Raw genomic sequence first — 20508 nt, forward strand, 5'->3', positions numbered from 1 at the left:
GGGATTTGTTTTTTAGGTAATAATATAATGAGTTAGCTGAAAGAGCTAACTTGTAATAGATTTATTAAGCCATAAAGTTTCATTTCTTTGAACAACATATTGTCAAAATCTTCACAGACAACTTCACTTATAAGAAAATTAAATGAAAGAACTATTTCTTTAAAAGTTAGCTGTGGATTTTCTCTATTTGGGGAGGGGTTGAAAATGCCGCGTCAATGGATCTGGCTGTGATCCGACCTCTTAATCCTGTTTTAATTATGGGTTCTTTGCTACTTCTGATTTTATAGTTATATGTGACTGACATTCAGACATTCATAGTAATTTTTTAAATATGTAATTTTACATAAGAGTCCCTTCAATGTGACCTTAAGATGGGAGTCTCTAGATATAATTATAGAGAGGAAGGAACCGACCTAGAATGAGTTGATCATTTCCAGGAGTATCTCATTGTCAGATTTTTCAGTTGAACACTGTGGCAGTTTCACATTTCTACAAGCTTGAGAGGAATGCAGAAGGGAGACCCACAAAGATGCTCATGTGGACAGCACTTGTCTGTTCCCACTGCTGTATATTTGAAAACACTGGGGACCAAATATGATTAACCACATACTTCTCCCTGGAGACCTGAACCCTAAATATGCCTTTTTCCACCATACTCTGTGTTTCTTGAGACCAGTATGCTTGCGGCTAGGTGTCATTTATCAAATATGACATGAATGTTTGTTGTGCATAATCATTTTTGTTTAGGTTTAAAAATTTAATGGCAGTGAGTTATACTACCTGAAGATGCAGGCTGAAAGCATGAGTTTTGACAAAGTGAAATTTCATTTGATGATATCCATTATAAATCGTTTTTCTCTAACTTTAAAGTAACATCTCATTTTTACTGTGTCTTATTAACAAACTTTACCAATAGTGTTGTTTCCATAGTAAATGATATGTTTTAAATTATATATGCCCCATATTTTCCTGAAATTTTAAGACGTTTCTACACTAAACTCTGTTCCTTCATCTGTAAAGTGAAGATGTTAAGACTCCATTATCTCTAAGATCTCTTCTGATACCCAGGGCACCCTAAGTCTAATGTCCAGCCTTTTTTATTATGGAGAATATCTTAGTAAATTTCCAAAGGCTTGCGAGGTGTTTCAGATTGCATCGCTCTGACTTGCCAAACGATCCTCTCTATTGACCATTACCGAATAGTATTCCCTGAAACCTCTTCCCCTGCTCCATGGATGTGACTGTGGCTCCTTGTGGAGAGCTAAACCCAGCCTTTGCCTGCCAGGAGCCGATTACAGCTGTGAGAGGTCCAGTCATCCTGTCCTACTGATTGCATCTGTGTCTGGTCATCTGAGAGAGTGAAATATTAATCTGCTTTCTTCTCTTCACTCTTTTCATGTGTATTCCCCTAACAGAAAGGAGAACCTGACTGCTGTGCACTCTCTCTGGAGACAAGCGAGCAGCTCACCTTTGAGATCCCCCTGAATGATTCAGGTTCTGCTGGCCTCGGGGTGAGCTTAAAAGGGAACAAATCCAGAGAAACTGGAACAGACTTGGGGATTTTTATCAAATCCATCATTCATGGAGGCGCTGCTTTTAAGGTGGGTAGGAATGACATTTGTACATCCTTTGAGAAGGCACTTGGAGATGTGACTGTTGTACTTAGAGACTGAATGGAGAAAGTGTCTGAAGACTTGAGGCCACTGAGACTTTCCCGCCAGATACAAAAAATATATGTGTGAACAGATCTGGGAAATAACTGGCTGCTGTTTTTGTACCTTAACTGGTTATTTTTACTTCTTAGAGTTACCTCTAAAAACCCAACATGATTCACATTCTTTTTTGCATACTTTTTATTACTGCAATAGGATTCCTCTGGATTTGTAAACTGACAAGAGTTGAGCCTAAAAGTACACGATCAGAAAAACAAAACTAAAAACAAGTAAACATAAAGGCAGCAAATAAGACAGTTGTGCTTGCAAGAATGAAAGCTCAGTGGAGCCTGAGAGTGATTGTAGTATAAATTAAAGGCCATTTATCACATTTTATACACTTGAAGAAAACCATGGTGCCCAGAATGCATATTTCCTTTTGTATACTTAGAGAAGCTTAGTTTTCTAGGTTTCCAGAAAAAGAAGGAAGATCATGCTTCAGTCCTTTCACGTTGAGGTGAGTATAGTGTACTGGTTAGCTAGATGGCCGGTGTTCAAGTCCAGCTCAGTCCTTGCTAGCTGTATGGAAATGTAGGCAAGGGTCTTGACCAGCTGTCTCCCATTTCCTCACCGGTAGAATGGTGATAATAAATAATAACTACTTCATAGGTTTCCAGGATTAAATCACACAATGTGATGAAAACAATAAAGTGATGATAGAGGAAGGATACACGTTTGCACCTCTTGCCACCCTCATTATTATCTCACACCGTGCAAGGAGACTTCTTGAGTTTGAATTCTGCCTTACCTACTCTCTCCCTGTGCATGTAGGTAAGCTGCTCAGCCTTGACATGCCTCAGTTTCCTCATTTGTGAAATTAGCAGTGCCTGGTTCCTCATGCTGCTGTTAAGACTAAAAGAGACAATATGTGTCAAGTGCTTAGCACAGTGCCTGTCACCAGCTGCTGATAAATGTTAGCCATCTGAAAATAATCGTGATATGAATAATGTCTATCCTCTCCCACAGCAAAGCCAAGAAGGCCCCGTTACACTCAACAGAGCACCCCTGCACCTAGAATTCTGGCTTTGTTGAAGCAACTGTCGTCTCACACTTACCCTTCCACTTTTGTTTCAGACTAGATGTGGAGATAATGCCTTTTTCACTGGGAAATAAATGTACTTTGGACAGACACCTCTTCAGTTTACTCCTTGGTTTAGTTAGCTTTTGTCGCATAATAAATAGTCATAATTTTTCAGTAATATACACATCAATAAGCCTTTATTTTTCTCATAGCTCTGTGTGGGGGAGCTGGGGTTTGGGTAGGATTCTGATTCAGGCTGGTGTCTCTTGATCCCACTGTAACTCTGCAGATCTGAGTGTGCTGCACTTCTTTCTCCTGCTCCTTGGATCAGCAGGCTAGCTGGCGCATGTCCCTCTCATGCCTCGAGCTGTCAGAGGGCCAGCGGCAGTGGGTGAATCCGCGGGCTCCAAGCTAGCACACTGTCACCCCACACATAGGCCACTGGTCAAAGCAAGTCATATGGCTGAGTCCAAGGTTGAGCAGTAGAAAACACACTCCAGCCACGATGAAGTTATGGCAAAGATGTAGATACAGAGAAGGGTAAAGAATTGAGTCCCATCACTCCATCTATAAAACTGGCTCAGAAATACATAAGCAGGAGCAAAAGCGAAATAGTAGTAATAGCAACAACAACAATAGCAATGAACATTTATTGTGCTTAGTATATGCTGGACACTAGGATAGGTGTTTTATATGGGTTATCTAACTTTATTCACATTTACATTGGATTATTTTCAGTCCATTTTATCAAAGTGGAAATTACAGATTAGACCCTTTAGTGCCTTTCCTGTGGTCAGATAGCCAGGAATTACTTTAAGATTTGAATCCAGGCAGTCTGACTCCAGAACCTGCGTTATGCTGCACTGAAATGAAGCTCTTCCATATGATCCATTCATGTTCCTAGAGAGCAGGGCCTGTTCGCCTGGAGGTGTCTTGTATGGTGCTATCATCCTTAGCCAAGCCATCTAGGTTTGAGGATGAGTTCTTGGTCATGTTTGTGGATACCAGCTTGAAATTAGTCTTCTTATTCCTAATGACAGCTCTATTTGTAGAATTTACTCCAAGTAAAATTGAAACTGAGATGACTTTTCGGAAATTAAAAGCAAACATCTTAGCTTTTTTATGGGCAATAACTTAAGCTCAAGCAGATATTGGCGAGCAGGTTTAATATGTATATCCATGTTTGTGTAAGTGAGCATCTCCTTACCTAAGCAGTTTCTAACAGTCCTGTTTCTTGCAGAAAGATTTCACTTTCCATTTATGTAAATTTCTTTCCTGACACTGGTCTGCTGAGTCAGACAATCACACCATTAAAAACCACTGGACAGCATATTTATAGCTGATCTTAAACAGTAAGAGGCATCAGTCATGAACTTAGCCTTCTTGTGAATGTTTAGTATCCATTTGTCTTGTTTACCTTTTGCAGTGTAAAGGGTAGAGGCCTGAGATTTGTTCACAAAAAATCTGATTAACCAGGGGAAAAAAAAGTATTTTTCCATTCTCCTACTGTTGTTCCAGTAATCCACTGTTACGCCTCGGAAAATTGCCACCCATTCTATGATTCAGGATTCTGTCTTAGGAAAATTGTTTTGAGACTTTGTTCCTGTCCCTGTTGAGAGGATACACATGTAACAGACTACAGTGTCTCTGGGGCAGAGGAGAGATCAGCACTGGGAACATCTTTGTCTCAGCATTTGGCCCTAGGTTTTTACCCGGAATCAACAAAATAATCTTTCAACCAGAGCACAATCTTTTTCTCCTCGCCCTTCATACCACTAATTAGTTCTCAAGGTGTTTTTCCCTTTAGGGAAGGTGGATTTTTTGAAAACTAAACTACTTTGAAAGATATGACCAAATTCTTCCTGTGCATTCTGTGTGCTGGATTCTCCTGGGGGCTTCCATTGGTCTAAACAAAGATAGGCTACTTCTTGCCAGATGTAAAACCCCTGAATACCTCGACTCTAATTGAGGGCATTGCTTTGTTTTGTTTTGTTTTATTTTGTTTTCCTTAATTCTCAGTCTACTGCTTTCTGTCATGTCATCTCTTGTTTGAATTATTTCTAATAGAGGATGTAAATCTCTATTTGGAAACAAGAGCAGCCAGCTACTCTAGGACGCCCTCTTGGAAGTGAGTCCCTGACTCATTCTAAAAACCAACAGAACAATAATTCTACCCTGCTCAGAATTATCCAAATGCTTAATCTCAACTTGATATTTAACTTCAAGTCTGTACATTAAGAAATAAAGCCCAGAAACTCTTCTGTGCATGCATCAGGCTGCACCACTTTTGATTACAGGCTGTTTTGTCATACGGAGCTCTTCATAGGCCCCTCTGAAGCATAACTTGTAGCTATGCCTCTTAGTGTACTATATGGCCATTGACCATAACAGCGGAATATTGCTTCTTAGAGTATTGATGCCAATGTGCCTAAGCACTAGCATGCATTACATGTTTGTGGTTTCATTTAGTTACTGTCTTTCTTCCTGGGCGTTTGCCCCTGACATACAGTGTAGTTGCTTCTAGAACTAAAATATACTAAATACAAGCATATATGTCAACTGCTTCTGAAAGAATTATGAGCAGAATGAAGTTACGACATCCATGAGAATGATTTTCTAAAATGTTGCTTTTGTGGTTGGAATTTATGTGGTAGTGCTGTTGCTGTTCAATAAAAAGAAGTATCAGCTCTGTTGCAGTTAGAAAAAATACCTTTCCCTAAATCCACATCAAAATGTCCCTAAATCCACATCAAAATTTGCGTTTTATTTTGTCCAGGAAAGCACAAATGAAGTCTAAATGATCCGTCTGAAGATGTTAGATATTTTTATGTTCATTTGCTAAACATTTTAAATTCATTTTGAGATCAGTGGTTTTTCTTTGCTTTGCTTTTCATGTACCATATTAACTGAAAATTTTTAGTAAAAATTTTTACATCTATGGACTACACTTCCTTAAGTTGCTTGTTTTGCTACCCTAAAGAATTACTTTAAAAATGTATACATAACTAGAATAGTGCTTTCTTTAAAGTTAGGTAAGATATTGTAAGAACACACTGTAGTGAGAATAAAAGTCCCATGAAGTCTGTTGTACCAGTTCTGAATGGTGTTTTTGACTTCACTATGCTGACTTTGGGAGTGGTATGTCTCCTACTGAAACTTTGACCTAGTAAGGTAAGAATTCAAATTTACAGGAATTTTTGCTAAAGGAAGAATGTCGTATATCAGGTAGATTGTTTAGGGGCTGCTAAATAGAGAGAATACATTTAAGACTATCAGTTATTCTCTAGAGAATTAATTAGCCAGGTTTGTGCTTAATAAATTCTCTTGATGATGAAGAAATTAAGTGAAAGAAAAATGCCTGACATGGCTAATTGTAAATGTATGCACTCAGAATATGAAATAGACATAATTGAAGTAATTTGATTCTTGTGTGCTTAGGAAATTTGGGATTCTCCTTCTGAAGGATGCAGGATTTCATAATCTGCACTGTTTAGTAATGGGCAAAAGAAAGAATTTGGACCAATACAAGCAATCATGATATTTTTAAATGACTAAACTCTAAATTTTTGGAGAGAAAATGCACATCTCTAGAATATCCAGAAACATGGCGCTTGATCCTGAATCTCCATGTCTCATTGTCATGTGAGACATTTAACAGCATCCAAACTACTTAACTCCAGTAGGAGCTCCCAGCGTGACTAATTTCCACCCCCATCTCTGCCGGTATCTATAAATCATGTGATAGATCTATAATTAATGAATTCAAAGGAAGATAAAAGGGACAGCTTTTTAAGGAAAACTAATGTTAAATGATTTCTTCAACTGGCCATTTTTCTTAAAATTTATAATGTTTTCTACTGGTGGGAGAACCTTGAGGATCCTTACTGGTAGTCAGTGACTTCTAAGCTGTTACCTCTGGCAAAAGGACCAGATAATGTGAGAATGTCAAAATGCTATTGAAACTCCTCAAATGTAAGAAGCCAAACACTAACATTTTATTTCTAACCACAAAGATGTGATACATTTTAAGGACTTTAAAAGCAGGAACTTTGCCTGGAAATATACATAAATTCATAATCACTATATATCCAATAAGAATTTGACCTTAAAAAAGGAAGTTATTAATTTAAGCCTAGGAAAAATACATTTTAGCTAATTTTCCGTTTTAAAAAAATCTGAAAATGTTAGCATATGTTAATTCACATAGTCAGGCTTATTTATGAATTTTCTACCATAGGAACTATTAAAATGTAATATAACATTACTTTTAAAATCTCAAAGTAGCTGGCACAGTAATGGGCACCTGTATTTTCAACTAAGCAGGAGGATCACTTGAGCTCAGGAGTTCCAGACTGTAATGCAGTATAATCGTGCCTGTGAATAGTCACTGTGCTCTAGGCCTGGGCAACACAGCGAGACCCCATCTCTTTTTTTAAAAAATCCCATAATTCCAGCATCTATCATTGTTTTTTCTTGCTGATCTTTATCACTTTTGCATTTTTATTTCATGAATGGAAATGCAAACAGGAAATAAATTTACATGTACACTATACTGAATAAAATTTTGGAATGCTACAACATTTTGATGTGTATTTTGGACTCCGTGATTGTCTCAGTGGGCTTGAAAAAATTTAAGGGTTGATATTCCTAATGAAAAAGGAAATTATAATCTACAAAAGTTGATATAGCATGGTAATGATGCTTTGGCTCTGAAAATAGTAACTTTCCCCTGAAAAGCTATATTCGTCTTCATTATGGGTACCTATAGGCCATATATATGTATACACACACACACACACACACACACACGTAAGACCAGTCACTAGGAAAATGGACACAAACCAGAATGCTCAAATAAAACTCTGACCACAGTATGAACTCTGCATACATATACACACGTTTTTGTTCTAGCATTCTGGTTGTACCCATTTTTATAGTGACTGGTTTTAAGCAATCTCAGTATAAGCAAGTGCCAAGTGCATAAAAACCACCACCAAGAAGTAAATCAATAAGATAAGTATGTTGAAATGGCTTCCGAAATTCTAACCTAGTTAGGCATTCATGCAAATTATTCTTAATTCATATATAACATATATGCTTTAACAAGCTTCTTTTTAATCTGGTTTTCTAGGCCAAAGTAAATTAAGAGCAGAAAATCAGGAAGGAGATAGGAAAGGATGGAGAAGAAACTGGAATGACAGGAAAGAAAAAAGTGTAAAACAAGCACAGAATGTTATTATTGTATGGTACACCAGAGAATATTTCTGATGGTTTGAAGTCAGTATTTCTCAAACTTTCTTGCAGAAGAAATTATAAGATTCAATGTGGCCATAGTAAAGGCCATAAGTTGCAGTATATCTGTTTATGCCCCATATTTTTCCAGAATGATTTTAAAATGAAAAGATTTATAATACATTTTGAAAGCATTATTTCAGAATGGTTTATGCATATGTTAACTCCTATAGTCAGGCTTATTACAATAAGCCTGACCAACATGGTGAAACCCCATCTCTGCTAAAAATACAAAAACTAGCCAGGCATGATGGTACGCACCTGTAATCCCAGCTACTTGGGAGGCTGAGGCAGGAGAATTGCTTGAACCAGGGAGGCGGAGGTTGCAATGAGCCGAGATCATACCACTGCACTCCAGCCGGAGCAACAAGAGGGAGAGACTCTGTCTCAAAAATAAATAAATAAATAAATAAATAAATAAATAAATAAATAAATAAATAAAAGCTTCATATGCCCACAGGTGATTTGCTGCTGGGACTTCATTGGTTTGTTACATAGAAATGGAGTGAGGTTCTTAAGACAATAACTGAATTACATAAATTTAAATTTTACAATTTCTGAACAAGTAGAGATAGGGGCAGTATACAGAACGTAATCAAACTTTTTTTTTCTTTTTTGGAATTCTGAAGGTTCTCTGAATATGCCCTGGCATATTCAAGACAGCTTAGGTTCGTGACTCTCTCATAGTTACAATTTGTAGATGAAACTTAACACCAGGACCAAAACACCTGACTGACTTAATTTAGCAAGCACTTCTTGAACATTTAGAGTGAGTTAGACAACAGTGTATAGTGGACTAGACACCGCATACTTAAAATTACCCATTCTATAATCTAGGAAGGTAGTAACACAATACATTAAATATATAAAAAACACTAATATGATAAGAGCTATGATAGGCAAATGTGAGAAGTATCGTGGGTGTTGAGATGATGAAGCATTTAATTCTGTCTGGGGAGAAAACTATGAAAGGAAGGCAATTGCAAGGCTTGCTTGGGGTGAGGAGTAAGTAGACTTTGAAGAGGTGAGCAGGAATGCAAAGGGCATTTTGGGTAGAAGAAAGAATATGGGCAAAGTCACCAAGGTATGTACACCAAAGTACAGTCTGTTGTGCCTGGAAAATAGAGGTCTTATTTGGGAAGAATGGACCTCTTCACATAAGCTGAAATGATGTGAAACATGTAGTAGCTTTTTTGTTTTAACAACTGTACTTTAAAAATCTTGATTCATTCTTGCCCTTCCATTGCAATTGTTTTTAAATGAAGGTAAATGATTTCAATCTGGAATACAAGGTTCTTTTCTTAGTTTAGGGTTTTGGGTTTTTTGGGGGGTTTGATTTGTTTTTTCAAAAAATGCAGTAGACAGATGTTGTCATAGAGTGATTGTAGGGCCATGAGAAGGATTCGTTGAAGATAATTCTCTCCCTGAATCAGGTGCCATCTTGCCTGGGGTCCAGCCCTATTCCAGGGAACATCTGCTCTGCAACCTGAAGTCAAGCTTTGGGGTTTGGGACCTGGGAGTTGATAATATCCCAGGAGGCCGTACCAAGGGCCCCGTTAGAAGCATGCAGAGGCAGAAGCCAACATCTGGTCATGATTAATCCTCTCAACACCCTGGACTAATGTGGACTGGCCTTGGGCCACAGCCAGCTACCCCTGGGAAAGCCAGCCCACTTTCTCATGCTTCTCTCATATTCTTCAGTGGCTAGTTCAGTTCTTTGCCTTGGCTTTCTTACTTTTCCTCTGTATTCATTAGAATTTTAGAGGTAACAGGGCAGTTGAGGGGAGGGTTTAACAAAAAATTTGCCAAGCCAGGTGGATTAAGCCACACAACATTGCCAGTAATCATGGCAGAGGAAGTACCCAGGCACCAGTGAATATACCACAGGGGATGAACTACAAGGTCATTGCACCCCCCAGCAATCATAAATAAGCTTTAGAGGACACATGGAGTAGCCTACAGCATACATAACGACCCCTCACTCCAAAGAATTATCTGGCCCAAATGTACAATTGTGGAAAGACCCTGGTGTAAATATTTTTTTTTTCAAAAATGAGTATCTGTAGCTTTTATTAGATTCTCAAAGGAGTCTAAGAACCCATAAAGGCTAAAAATCACTAGCAGATTGTTTGAAAACATGGGCTGCAGAGTGACCCAGACCTAGTTCACATCTGCTTTTAGAAACATGACTTGTAACAATTCATTTAACCTCTCTGACTGCAATTTCTTCTTTTATAAAATGGGGGCAGCAATCTCAAATATACAGGGTTTCTATAAGGAGTAAATTGTCTGCTACATGTAAAGGGTTTAGCATGATGCACAGAGTAGAAACTCTTTGTCATTAATATAGTGCCTTTAATAATCTCTAAAAGTCTGAATGTAGAAGCAACGTAGCATAAAGGATTCATGTCATTAACCTGAGAGATGAGGAGACCTGGCTATGACCATACCCTTTGACAAGTCACTTAATTTCTCTGAGCCTTCATCTTTACATCTCCTAAATAGCAGAGAGTAGCATTTATATCACAGGGTTGCTGTAAGAAATGAATGGGCAAATATATGCAAAAGACATGCTCAAGGACTAGCCTACATTAGGTGTTCAGTAAAAGGGAGATGTCATACTCAAAGGTCTTGTCTCCTGGTCCTCTGTGCGTCCTACTGTGATAGGACCAGCTAAAGCTGATGAGATTGAAACCATGCCAGGACATGGAGAAGACCTAACCTCATACCAGGTTTTTTCGTTCTAAAGTGCACTGAAGAAGTTACATTTTGTCTTTACTCTGTCCTCCTGATTCTTTTTAATATGTTTTCCTTCCCTTTGGGAATTTCCTTTACTCCTTTCTAGCTTGAGGATGGAGTTGGTTATGGGGGGATGCCAGAAGCGGGGAACATAATTGAAGTATTTTTGCTTAGGAGTCTGATGGGAGTAATAGAGGAAGAAAAAGGGGTGAGAAAGGGAGAGAGAGAGAGAGAGAGAGAGAGAGAGAGAGTGTGTGTGTGTGAATATTGCAAGCATAACCCAGGTGAAATAAATATCCTAGAATTACCAAGCAACATCCTTGAATATTTGAATTCATTTATGTAAAGTCAATTGAAAGTTAATATTCTCATGCCTAAATATTTACTAGAATTTAATATTAATTTTAAAAACCATAAAAAGCTGATTGTCTTTGTCCAAATTATTCCAAAGCAAATGGGACATACACAATTTTGAGAGAGATTTGATGAGTTTTTGAATAATGAGCTCCTCATTGAATCAACTTCATTTTAGGTCAAGACTGGACATAGACGTGCATGTATGGATGTCTAGCTAAGTAGGTAGACAGCCTTTTTTTTTTTTTTTTCCCTCCTCTGGGTTGCTCTGCCATGCCCCTGCACAGTTTCCTGTCTCCATATCTTCTGTTGTGTGTCTTGATTTTATATTGTCTTCCCTTCCAGGAGATATCTGGTAGCATATTGTCCTCTCTGGTTCTGAAAGTCTTTTTTTTCTTGAAGCATTACCCCTTTAGGGGCTTGTCATTGTCATCTATGTAGAATATAGAATGGTTTGGTGAATAGGGACGCTGTGGAATTCAGAACTTGGGCTGTTCTGTTCCAATTCTGACCTTAACTAGCTGAACAAGTCTAATATCTGTGGAAGTGCCTTTTCCTAATAGGTGTTCGATAAATGGTTTCTCATCCTCTTTGGGCATCCCATTATTCATCTGTAAACGGAAGAGGTTGGATGAGATGACCTCTAAGGACCCTTCCAGCTCTAAATTCAGTGATTATATTCTAAATGTTAGGACAACATGGTGCTTACTGGCATCGCCATTAATGAAATTACACATCATTTATCTTATAAAGAAAAAGCACACACCAATAACAACAGACCAGCCAAGCCTGACAGTGAGAGTGTGTGGATTTTTATTGCACCCACAACTCTCTGGTGATGCTTGTGATGAATGTGAATGTCTTTGAAAAAAAATTTCAGCTGCCCTGAGGTGACCTGAACTGTCTTTTTGTTTGGGACTTGGTTACAGGAAACATGCCCTACTTCAGTGTCATTCTGCATGCTTGAGATTTAGAATGTAACTGAAAATAAAAAAATAAAAAATAAAAAGTTTGTGCTTAGTAACTGTTGATAGATTTTACCAAAAGTTCTCCTATCTTCTTGTCTGTTATCTACCTCTTCACTCTGACGTTGTCTCATACTTCACAGAAAAGGTTCACAAGAGATTACCAGGTGGGATCTCACTCATATTTCCTTCCCTCCATCTCTAGAGGTTCCCATAAAGCTTCCATCTTTATCTTGTTTCTTCCTGTCGTAGCAGATGAGGTGTCCTGCCAAGACAAAGCACTGCAAAATCTCAACATTTCCTGTTAACCTCATTTCCTGTTAACAGGACTAGGACCAGGAACTGGATTCAACTCTTCTGCTTCCTCCTCCTCTTTAAAAACCACACATCAGTCTCCAGTCATCCTAAAACGATTTTTAGTAACAAGATTCAGCCCAATGGTTCTCCTTTCTTATATGACAATAGAGCAGAAATATTTCTCCAGTTATATCTCACATCACATAACGAAACCATTCAGGGTGTTTTTGTTGTTCCCCCCACCCTTTTTTTTTTTTTTTGGAGATGGAGTTTCGCTATTGTTGCCCAGGTTGGAGTGCAGTGGCGCCATCTTGCCTCACTGCAACCTCCGCCTCCTCGGTTCAAGCGATTCTCCTGCCTCAGCCTCCCGAGTAGCTGGGATTACAGGCATGCACCACCGCGCCCAGCTAATTTTGTATTTTAAGTAGAGACGGGGTTTCTCCATGTTGGTCAGACTGGTCTCGAACTCCTGACCTCAGGGGATCCGCCCACCTCGGCCTCCCAGAGTGCTGGGGTTACAGGTGTGAGCCACCGTGCCCAGCCCGTCATATCCCATTTCATGTAGCCTTATGCTTTTTTGTGCCTCACTCAAAATTGGATAACAGAAATGAAGAGATTTCTTTCTTGTTTGGCCTTTCCTGTAAATCTCATTTCCAGACTTGCTTCAAATTAGGGTAAAGGTTAAGTGAAATGGGAAAACAAGAGGAAGGCAGGGGACATTAAGCTCTGAGGAGGCGGTCCACTTAAACGGTTTACATCTCTGACTTGACGCCTTTGTCTATTGATCCCATTACCCTGCCATCTCCATTTCTTCCCCGAGTGGGTGTGTCCTCCTATGGGCGGCCCCTGCAATCCCACGTGGCTAACACCCTCTCCAGCAGGCGGCGTGGGCAGTGTGTCTTCACCAGGGCATTGGCTCTGGGGAACAGCAGCTCTCACCATGCCCTCCCTTTTCTCCACTATCAGCAGAGGGACTTCCTCGGGCCATCTGCTACTGCATTAGTCCGAGTTTAACGACCCGTCTGCACAGTTTCCCTCCCAAAGCTGTCTGGTTGGTTTCTATTGTTCATTGTGTGTGTCTGGCTATCTCATTTCTTTTTTTTTTCTTTTACTTTTTTTTTCTTTTACATTTCATTCTGTTAATTTGACCACAAATCCCAGATACTTCTCACCACTAGAACTCTTTAATATTTTCCTTTCCCTATTTTTGTGTTGTGCAGTTGTAGTCTAGAGACAAGAAACAAAGGGAATTGTCGTGGAAGAACTAAAGAGTCAAGATTCATGGGAACCTTTGACTCACTTTCGTGGCCTGGAACAAGTTACATTTTGTGCCTCAGTTTCCTTTTCTGTAAAATGTTTCTGAAAATATAAATCTTAAATTCTTAGGTTCTGTGAGAATCACTAGAGGTAATTTATGGAAGAATTCTCTGTAAGGGTAAACTGTTACACACCTGCTGTTAATTCTGTTGACTTTATTAGCAGCAGCAGCAGCAGCAGCATGATAACATTCGTAATCACAGCTGTGCTTTATAGCAAGCACTTTCTACCTGAGTGTAGAATAGGTAGAGAGCATATCCCCTGAGTCTGGCTGTCAACATTTCAAGCATCTTTGCTCCTGGGCTGCCTTTGGGGAAATGCACTGTGGTCCCTTCAAGTTCTGTTCTAGGCAGAGCAGGCATCCCAGTGTGTCAGCCACTGATCTAGGCCTCTGCTTATGAGGGACTTCTGGCTGGAGATGGTCAGTGCCTCATTCACTCAAAAGTGAATGAGACCACAGTCTGGGCTGTGTATTCATATGCCGAGGTTCTTTGTGCTTTGTAGTAAGTGGTATTTCTTCCTGAAGATGCTGGTTGAAAGTACTCATTCATCAGAGCCTCTTTGAAAAAACCTTGACAATTCTTTTTGTCAAGCTTTTCCACCAGAAAATATCAGGGCGAACTGGCCCTTTTCTACACACCTCTGTGTTCTTTGGCAGACGAGCAACTTTGTGGTTGTGTTAGACAAAATTATGTGGTTGTTTTTTTTTAGTACTGTTCAGTAGAGCTAGCAATGATATCAGGAGATACATTACTACTGTCAAGCACACAGCATTTATGCATGATGCCTCTTTGTGCCTGAAAAGGCAAATTCTCCTTTCAAGAGTTGTGACTACCTCCTTTGGTTTCCAAACCCCCTTCCCTTGAGTCAACAACATGGTCTCCGCCAGAGCAAATGGCAGAATCAGGTCAGATTAGCATGCTTGCCAAAGATTTAGGTAAGAGGCATTATACAAATGTCTAAATTATTGCAGCTCAGGACTCTAAGATTTCTAAAAAATACTTTCACACAATTCATTATCACTGGTATTTGTGACTATTTGATAAGCTCCAGAGCCTTTTTCTGCCATGGAAAATAAATCACTTCTAACAGCTAGGTTTTCTTTTTTTCTTTTTTTCATTTTTAAACTTGAACTTTTCCCCAAAACGCCACATGTCATCACCATACTTTTCTCTGTTGAATATTGTTTTCCTTTCTTCTGCCTTAGGATGGTCGTCTGCGAATGAATGACCAGCTGATTGCAGTTAATGGGGAATCTCTTTTGGGAAAGTCCAACCACGAAGCTATGGAAACACTTAGGCGGTCAATGTCCATGGAGGGAAACATCCGAGGGATGATCCAGTTGGTGATTCTGAGGAGGCCAGAGAGACCAATGGAGGTGATGCAAATCTTGATTCTCCTCAGCCAGTTGCCCAAATTGCCACCAGAATATGCAGACTTCCATTCCTAGTATGGCAGCTAGATTCATATCGAGAAAATATGCCCCAGAAGGGCTTTGATGGGAAACAGGTGGTTGTGTATTTTAGGTATAATAGAAAGGTGTAAAAATGTGCATATAAAGTAAGTCATTTATCAGATGTAACAGGTCTATAATTTCTAGTTTTTTCCCCCAGAAATTCCAAGAGCTCTGAACTTGTTCATAAACATCTTTATATACTTTTTTGGTTGATATGCTAGCAGTGTCCATACCTTAGAAAGTGTCTAATCACATGTGTACAATGTTTAATGTGGAGATCATTGTAATGCAGTCAGCTCTCTGTATTCTCTTCCATAATCTGCATATAAATAATGCAGACCTGAGACTTAACTAATTTAACATTTGATTTATTAAACAAGCTGCTTGCTCATGTTATTAAATAAATGGGAGTCTTGTTTTTTGAAATCTTTTATTATTTTTTATAAGTTTTTTAAAATATCAAGAATATTTTCACTTACACATGGAGTCTAAGTGTATGATAGCTTTAATAATAATATTCCTAACATTATACATATAAACATAAAAATACCTAAAACATTATTTTCTCTTATATGAAGAATAATTATTAAATGCTCATAAAATAATTTTAGAAAAAGCTAAGAAGAAAAAGTTAATAGTACTGAAAGTTTAGAAAAACATCAGCAAATCACACATTTTGTCATATCAGGATATTCTCTAAGGCCAAATTGTGTTTGTGTAATAAAATAATATACAAAATTTAAAAAACTATTTAAAAAGCTAATATAAAGTACTAGTTTTAATAAAGAGTTCAGCGTAATAATTGAAAAATGAAAGCTTTATCAAGTTAATCAAGAGTTAATGGTAGTGGGGCTCATTGTAGTTAAAAGCTTCAGCTCTGGAGTTTCGAATTGCTTGGGTTTCAATCCTAGATTTGCTATTTCCTGGCTATGTAAGTACATACATAATTTAGTGCTTGGTATTCATAGATGACAGATATTGCTGTCTGTTTTATCCCTTAATGTGTCCTTGGTTTCCGCATGTAGTAGATGCTTGATAAATATTGAGTGAATGAAAATGTCACATCTGAGACTTACTTCATCTCAGAGAGTAAACTTGAGTAGTAAAGTTATATACTCTATCTTACTTTATTCTATTATCAGCTACGGGCAAGGAGTAGCTATACCTTTTATGCTCTCCTTTATATAAGCTCGCAGATGTTAAATAAATTTAAATTGGCCAATTACTGGAGACTAAATATAATGAACTTATTTTCAACATTTGTGTCTGCTTAAGTGACAGTGTTCCATAAATATTTAATGGGCTTTACTTATGTACCTAGTTATAACACCCTTATCTGCCACTTCCTGCCCTGAGAGAATTGGCCCCATCTGGTTTAGGATAGTTCTTACTCTAGAGCCCTAGGACTCCATGGAACCCGTTTATTGGAGAGAGTTGAAAGGATGGACTGCGAACGCCTGAGTCATCCCTTCTGTGCATCTGCATATCAGATCTCCCTTAAGACTTTTTAAACAAAGATACCTCAACTAATAGAAGAGTCTAGAAAAAACTGCTGTAGCATAACATACCTGTGCAGATAGCAAAAGTTAAAAAAGAAATGACTATGGTTCTAAAAGAGTTAGTAGATGACAGCAGATAGGCGTTATATATTTTGGCTCATCGAGTTGGCACACTTTACTATTTGCATTCCCCTTTACTGCAGGTATTTTCATTTTAATTCTCACACTCTGGGTAGATTGGCGTTATTCCATCAGAAGAAAGTATGAAACTCTCATTTGTTGCCCGCCATCAGAAGTGCCATGTTAATGTAGATCACCAGGGAATTGATCAAGAATAAGAACTGGGTCAAAAAGCAATTTCTATGAGGACGTTTAAACAAGATCCATTTTTAGTTTCCCTAATATTTACATGCTTTCCATGGGGAATGAGCAGGCACTTGACTCTCGGCTACTGAGCATCTCTGCGGTACCCATGAAGATTAAAGAGCATTGTTTCTTATAAAGACAGAAGACTAATGTACAGTTTATCTTTATTAAATTGAAAAAAATTGCAACTGTTTGATCTTCAAATCTGTGTTTCACTGTGTCAGAGCATATTTTGTGTGCTCATGTTTTTGCTGTATTCTCTGGTGGAACAGCACTTGCCCTCCAGTACAATAAAAAGTATCCATAACCTAGAAAAAGGTCTCAGCACTGTTGATACATTCAGGCAAATCAATTAGTTAGATTTGCCAGGAATACCAAAATGGTTGCTTGAACATTATATTGATATCTCAAAAATTGAAGAAGCTACTTAAGAAAAGTCAAAATATATAGTTGTTGGGATTTTTCCCGCATTACCCAGATGTACAAGATATGTAAACAGTTTTGATGAGGACCTTGTGAAGAATACATAATGAGCCCTTGATTGAATCAAAATTGTTTTAAACAGAAACATATTTTTCAAAGGATGAGCTTGAGGTTCAATTGTAATTCTATTTGAGCCTAGAGACTTGGTATTAAAAAATGGGTTATGACCTGATTTTGTTTTTCCTTTCCCCAAAACATTTCCCTCCCTGCTGCCAGCTCATCGTGGCAAAAGCAGAATATGTTTAAAAATCCATTATATTTTTTATTGGCTGGGACACTAATGGAGGGCTCTGCGACGGCTCTATTTTACAGGCTGAATACTTTAATTAGGCTGGTTACTGATCAGTTGTTGGGATATCGATTGTGTCATTTATCAAAGAGCTGGGGAAGCAGAAAAAAATTTTTTGTTCTTGTTGTTATTGTTAAATCAAAGCACAAGGCTGAGCAAAGCAAGCCCTAGCTCTCTTTCCTGCTGCAGCTCCAGCTTTAATTTAGGACTAGCTTACCTCCTATACCAGGCTCAGTTTGACTAGCAGTTCAGAAGAAAGGGTAATACACTGGGTGTGGGAAAAGTGTTACAAGCCTTGACAAAAAGCTAAAGGACCTTCAGCAGCTGAAAACATTTTAATTATTAAGAATGCATAAATGGAATGTTTTAGATATTTTGTGTGACTAGCTCAACACTGAATTTTTATAACCAAAGAGGAAAATATAAATCCAATGCTTTGTTTTAGCCAAATGCTATACTCAGAAGAGCTCTGGGAATCAGATGGGTGCTGCTGTTTGTGGTACATTCTTCTCACAAATGGTCAAGGGAACAGCCATGAGATGGCTTCCAAATCATTTACCTCCTTAAAATCTGTTATTGAGACAAATAATACGAACAAGAGCATACCCTAATTCTCTTTGCTCCAACCTTTTTGGAAAAAAAAATAGTTAAGAGTTCTCTATCATCAGCCTCCTCCAATAATTCCTTCTTCAGCACCTGTGGAAGATGGATCGTAGGGGTGTTACTCTGGATACAGCAGTTTTCAGAAAACTGTGAATGTGTTTACAGACTGTAAAAATCAAAATAGGAAGGGGAAATATAGGGGGGGAACCCTCAGGAGAACTGCTGTCTGGCGTCACAGCGGTTTGATTTAGCTCCTGGCCAAAGACCTAGTATCTGCACAGAGACACACTGGTGGTATTTCAGAGGCGAACCTGCTTGAATTCTGACTTGTCCTAGAGCATATGCACTTAGGCGCAGAGAGAGAGAGGAACCAGCTGGTTGGCAGAGAAACACCCTTGGCATGAACTGTATTCTTGTGTTGACACTGCCACAAGCTGTATTCCCCAGATGGAAGAAAATTTGAAAGAAGCCAGTTATAAGTGGGAAAAGAGAATAATAAAGTTAATCCTCTTTTGTGTTGGCTATCAGCACTCCTAATCCTTAGCACCACAGTGTCAGTACTTTTTATTTTAGACTCAAAGATGTTTTCACTGATAGGGCCATTTTGAGTTTCCACAGTTGAGGACTTAAGTGTAATAGACTCTTGAAAGACTATTCATACAGCGATCATTCTTTCACTTTGCTTCAACTGACCAAGTTGGAACATATTAAAAATGCAAATGTAATTTTTACTTTTATCTCTTAGGATCCTGCAGAGTGTGGGGCATTTTCCAAGCCATGCTTTGAGAACTGTCAAAATGCTGTAACCACCTCTAGGCGAAATGATAATAGTATCCTGCATCCACTTGGCACTTGCAGTCCACAAGACAAACAGAAAGGTAAGAGTCTATTCATTTTATCCACTGCAAATGGAGTGAGAAAACACAAAAGTGTCTTTTTATCTAAAAAAAAAAAAAAAGAGTAAAGGGGAGTTAATTAGACTAAGTGCAGACTTTGTTACTCGGAGTCACAAACACTGAGAGAGTTGGGGGAGAGCTGACTCAGAACTTGTGAATCAGATTCCTGGCAATGTCTCTAGTTTAAGTGACACTTTCTGTGCTTGCTGCCCCAAACATGGAGGGTTATATATAAAACAAACGATCACTGGAGAATCAAAGATGGCAAACTGTTATTTTTAAGCTCTTCTAATACTGGAAGTTACCAAGTATAAATAAATAACTACCAAAATTTAAAAATGTATGGATTTATAATCCATAAAATGGTCATAGCGTGATTCACAGATGATCCTCGATTCTAATATGAGTATGATAAATGGGTGAATATCCTAACCTGAAACCATCTCGTGATGGTTGGAATGTTCTTGTTATTGTCTTGCTACACTGTTTTGCCTTATTATCTAATGTGGATCCCATTTCTAGCTGACTCCAGATGTAAAAAAATCTGGGTTTTCCTCTTTGTCTTTTAAAAAATATACTTCAGGTCACCAAGAAAATTGTTTTATCTCCCTGTATCTCTTTTCTTTAATAAAATGAATTTTTTATTACAAAAACAATACATATTCATTGCAGAAAATTTAGAGAAAAGAAATAAAAAGAAAATTTAATTTTACTTATACTTCTATCAAAGATCCTAATCAGTAACATTTTATGTATATCTTTCAGGACTTTTTAATGAAAATATTTTATACAAAAAATGAAATAATGAAATGTATGTAATGTTTAGGAAATTTCTTTTTAAAATTAATAGCACATTATATGCCTCTTAGTCATTGAATATTCTTCTACAATATCACATTCAGTAGTTGCATAGTGTCTTTTGAAGGTAAGTACCATATATTATGTAATCAGTCCCTATATTTTGAACACTTAAGTGTTATCATAATTTAACTATGTGGAAAGAAGTTCCAAGCTGTGAAATTACTCCATCATAACATACTTGTAAATCTGAGGTGGCTCTAGAATTAAATTATCTCATTAGAATGGGATGTTGTTTTTTCCACAGAATTCCTCCATTTTAGCAAGAGTAGTAGCAACAGCTGCTATCATTTATTAAGTGTTTACTGTCTGTTAGATACTGTGTTGAGCAATTTGCCTGCAGACTCAAAGTGGATAATGT

The 20508-nt window shown here is 38.0% G+C and overlaps 1 protein-coding gene across 18 annotated transcripts in view; it reads left to right on the forward strand.

The window, feature by feature from the left end:
* The window catches only part of PARD3B (par-3 family cell polarity regulator beta), a 1074688-nt gene that overhangs the window by 611832 nt on the left and 442348 nt on the right, over nucleotides 1–20508 (forward strand). For 15 of the 18 annotated variants that reach the window (XM_047443208.1, NM_001302769.2, NM_205863.4 and 12 more), the window contains 3 exons: nucleotides 1416–1601; nucleotides 14905–15075; nucleotides 19139–19271. In XM_047443208.1, coding sequence (XP_047299164.1) covers nucleotides 1416–1601; nucleotides 14905–15075; nucleotides 19139–19271 — 490 coding nt within the window. The remainder of the gene's footprint in view (nucleotides 1–1415; nucleotides 1602–14904; nucleotides 15076–19138; nucleotides 19272–20508) is intronic. The other 3 variants (NM_152526.6, XM_017003285.2, XM_047443209.1) reach the window with 1 other exon arrangement.

Source organism: Homo sapiens, chromosome 2 (assembly GCF_000001405.40).
Source record: "Homo sapiens chromosome 2, GRCh38.p14 Primary Assembly".
NCBI classification, from domain to species: domain Eukaryota; kingdom Metazoa; phylum Chordata; class Mammalia; order Primates; family Hominidae; genus Homo; species Homo sapiens.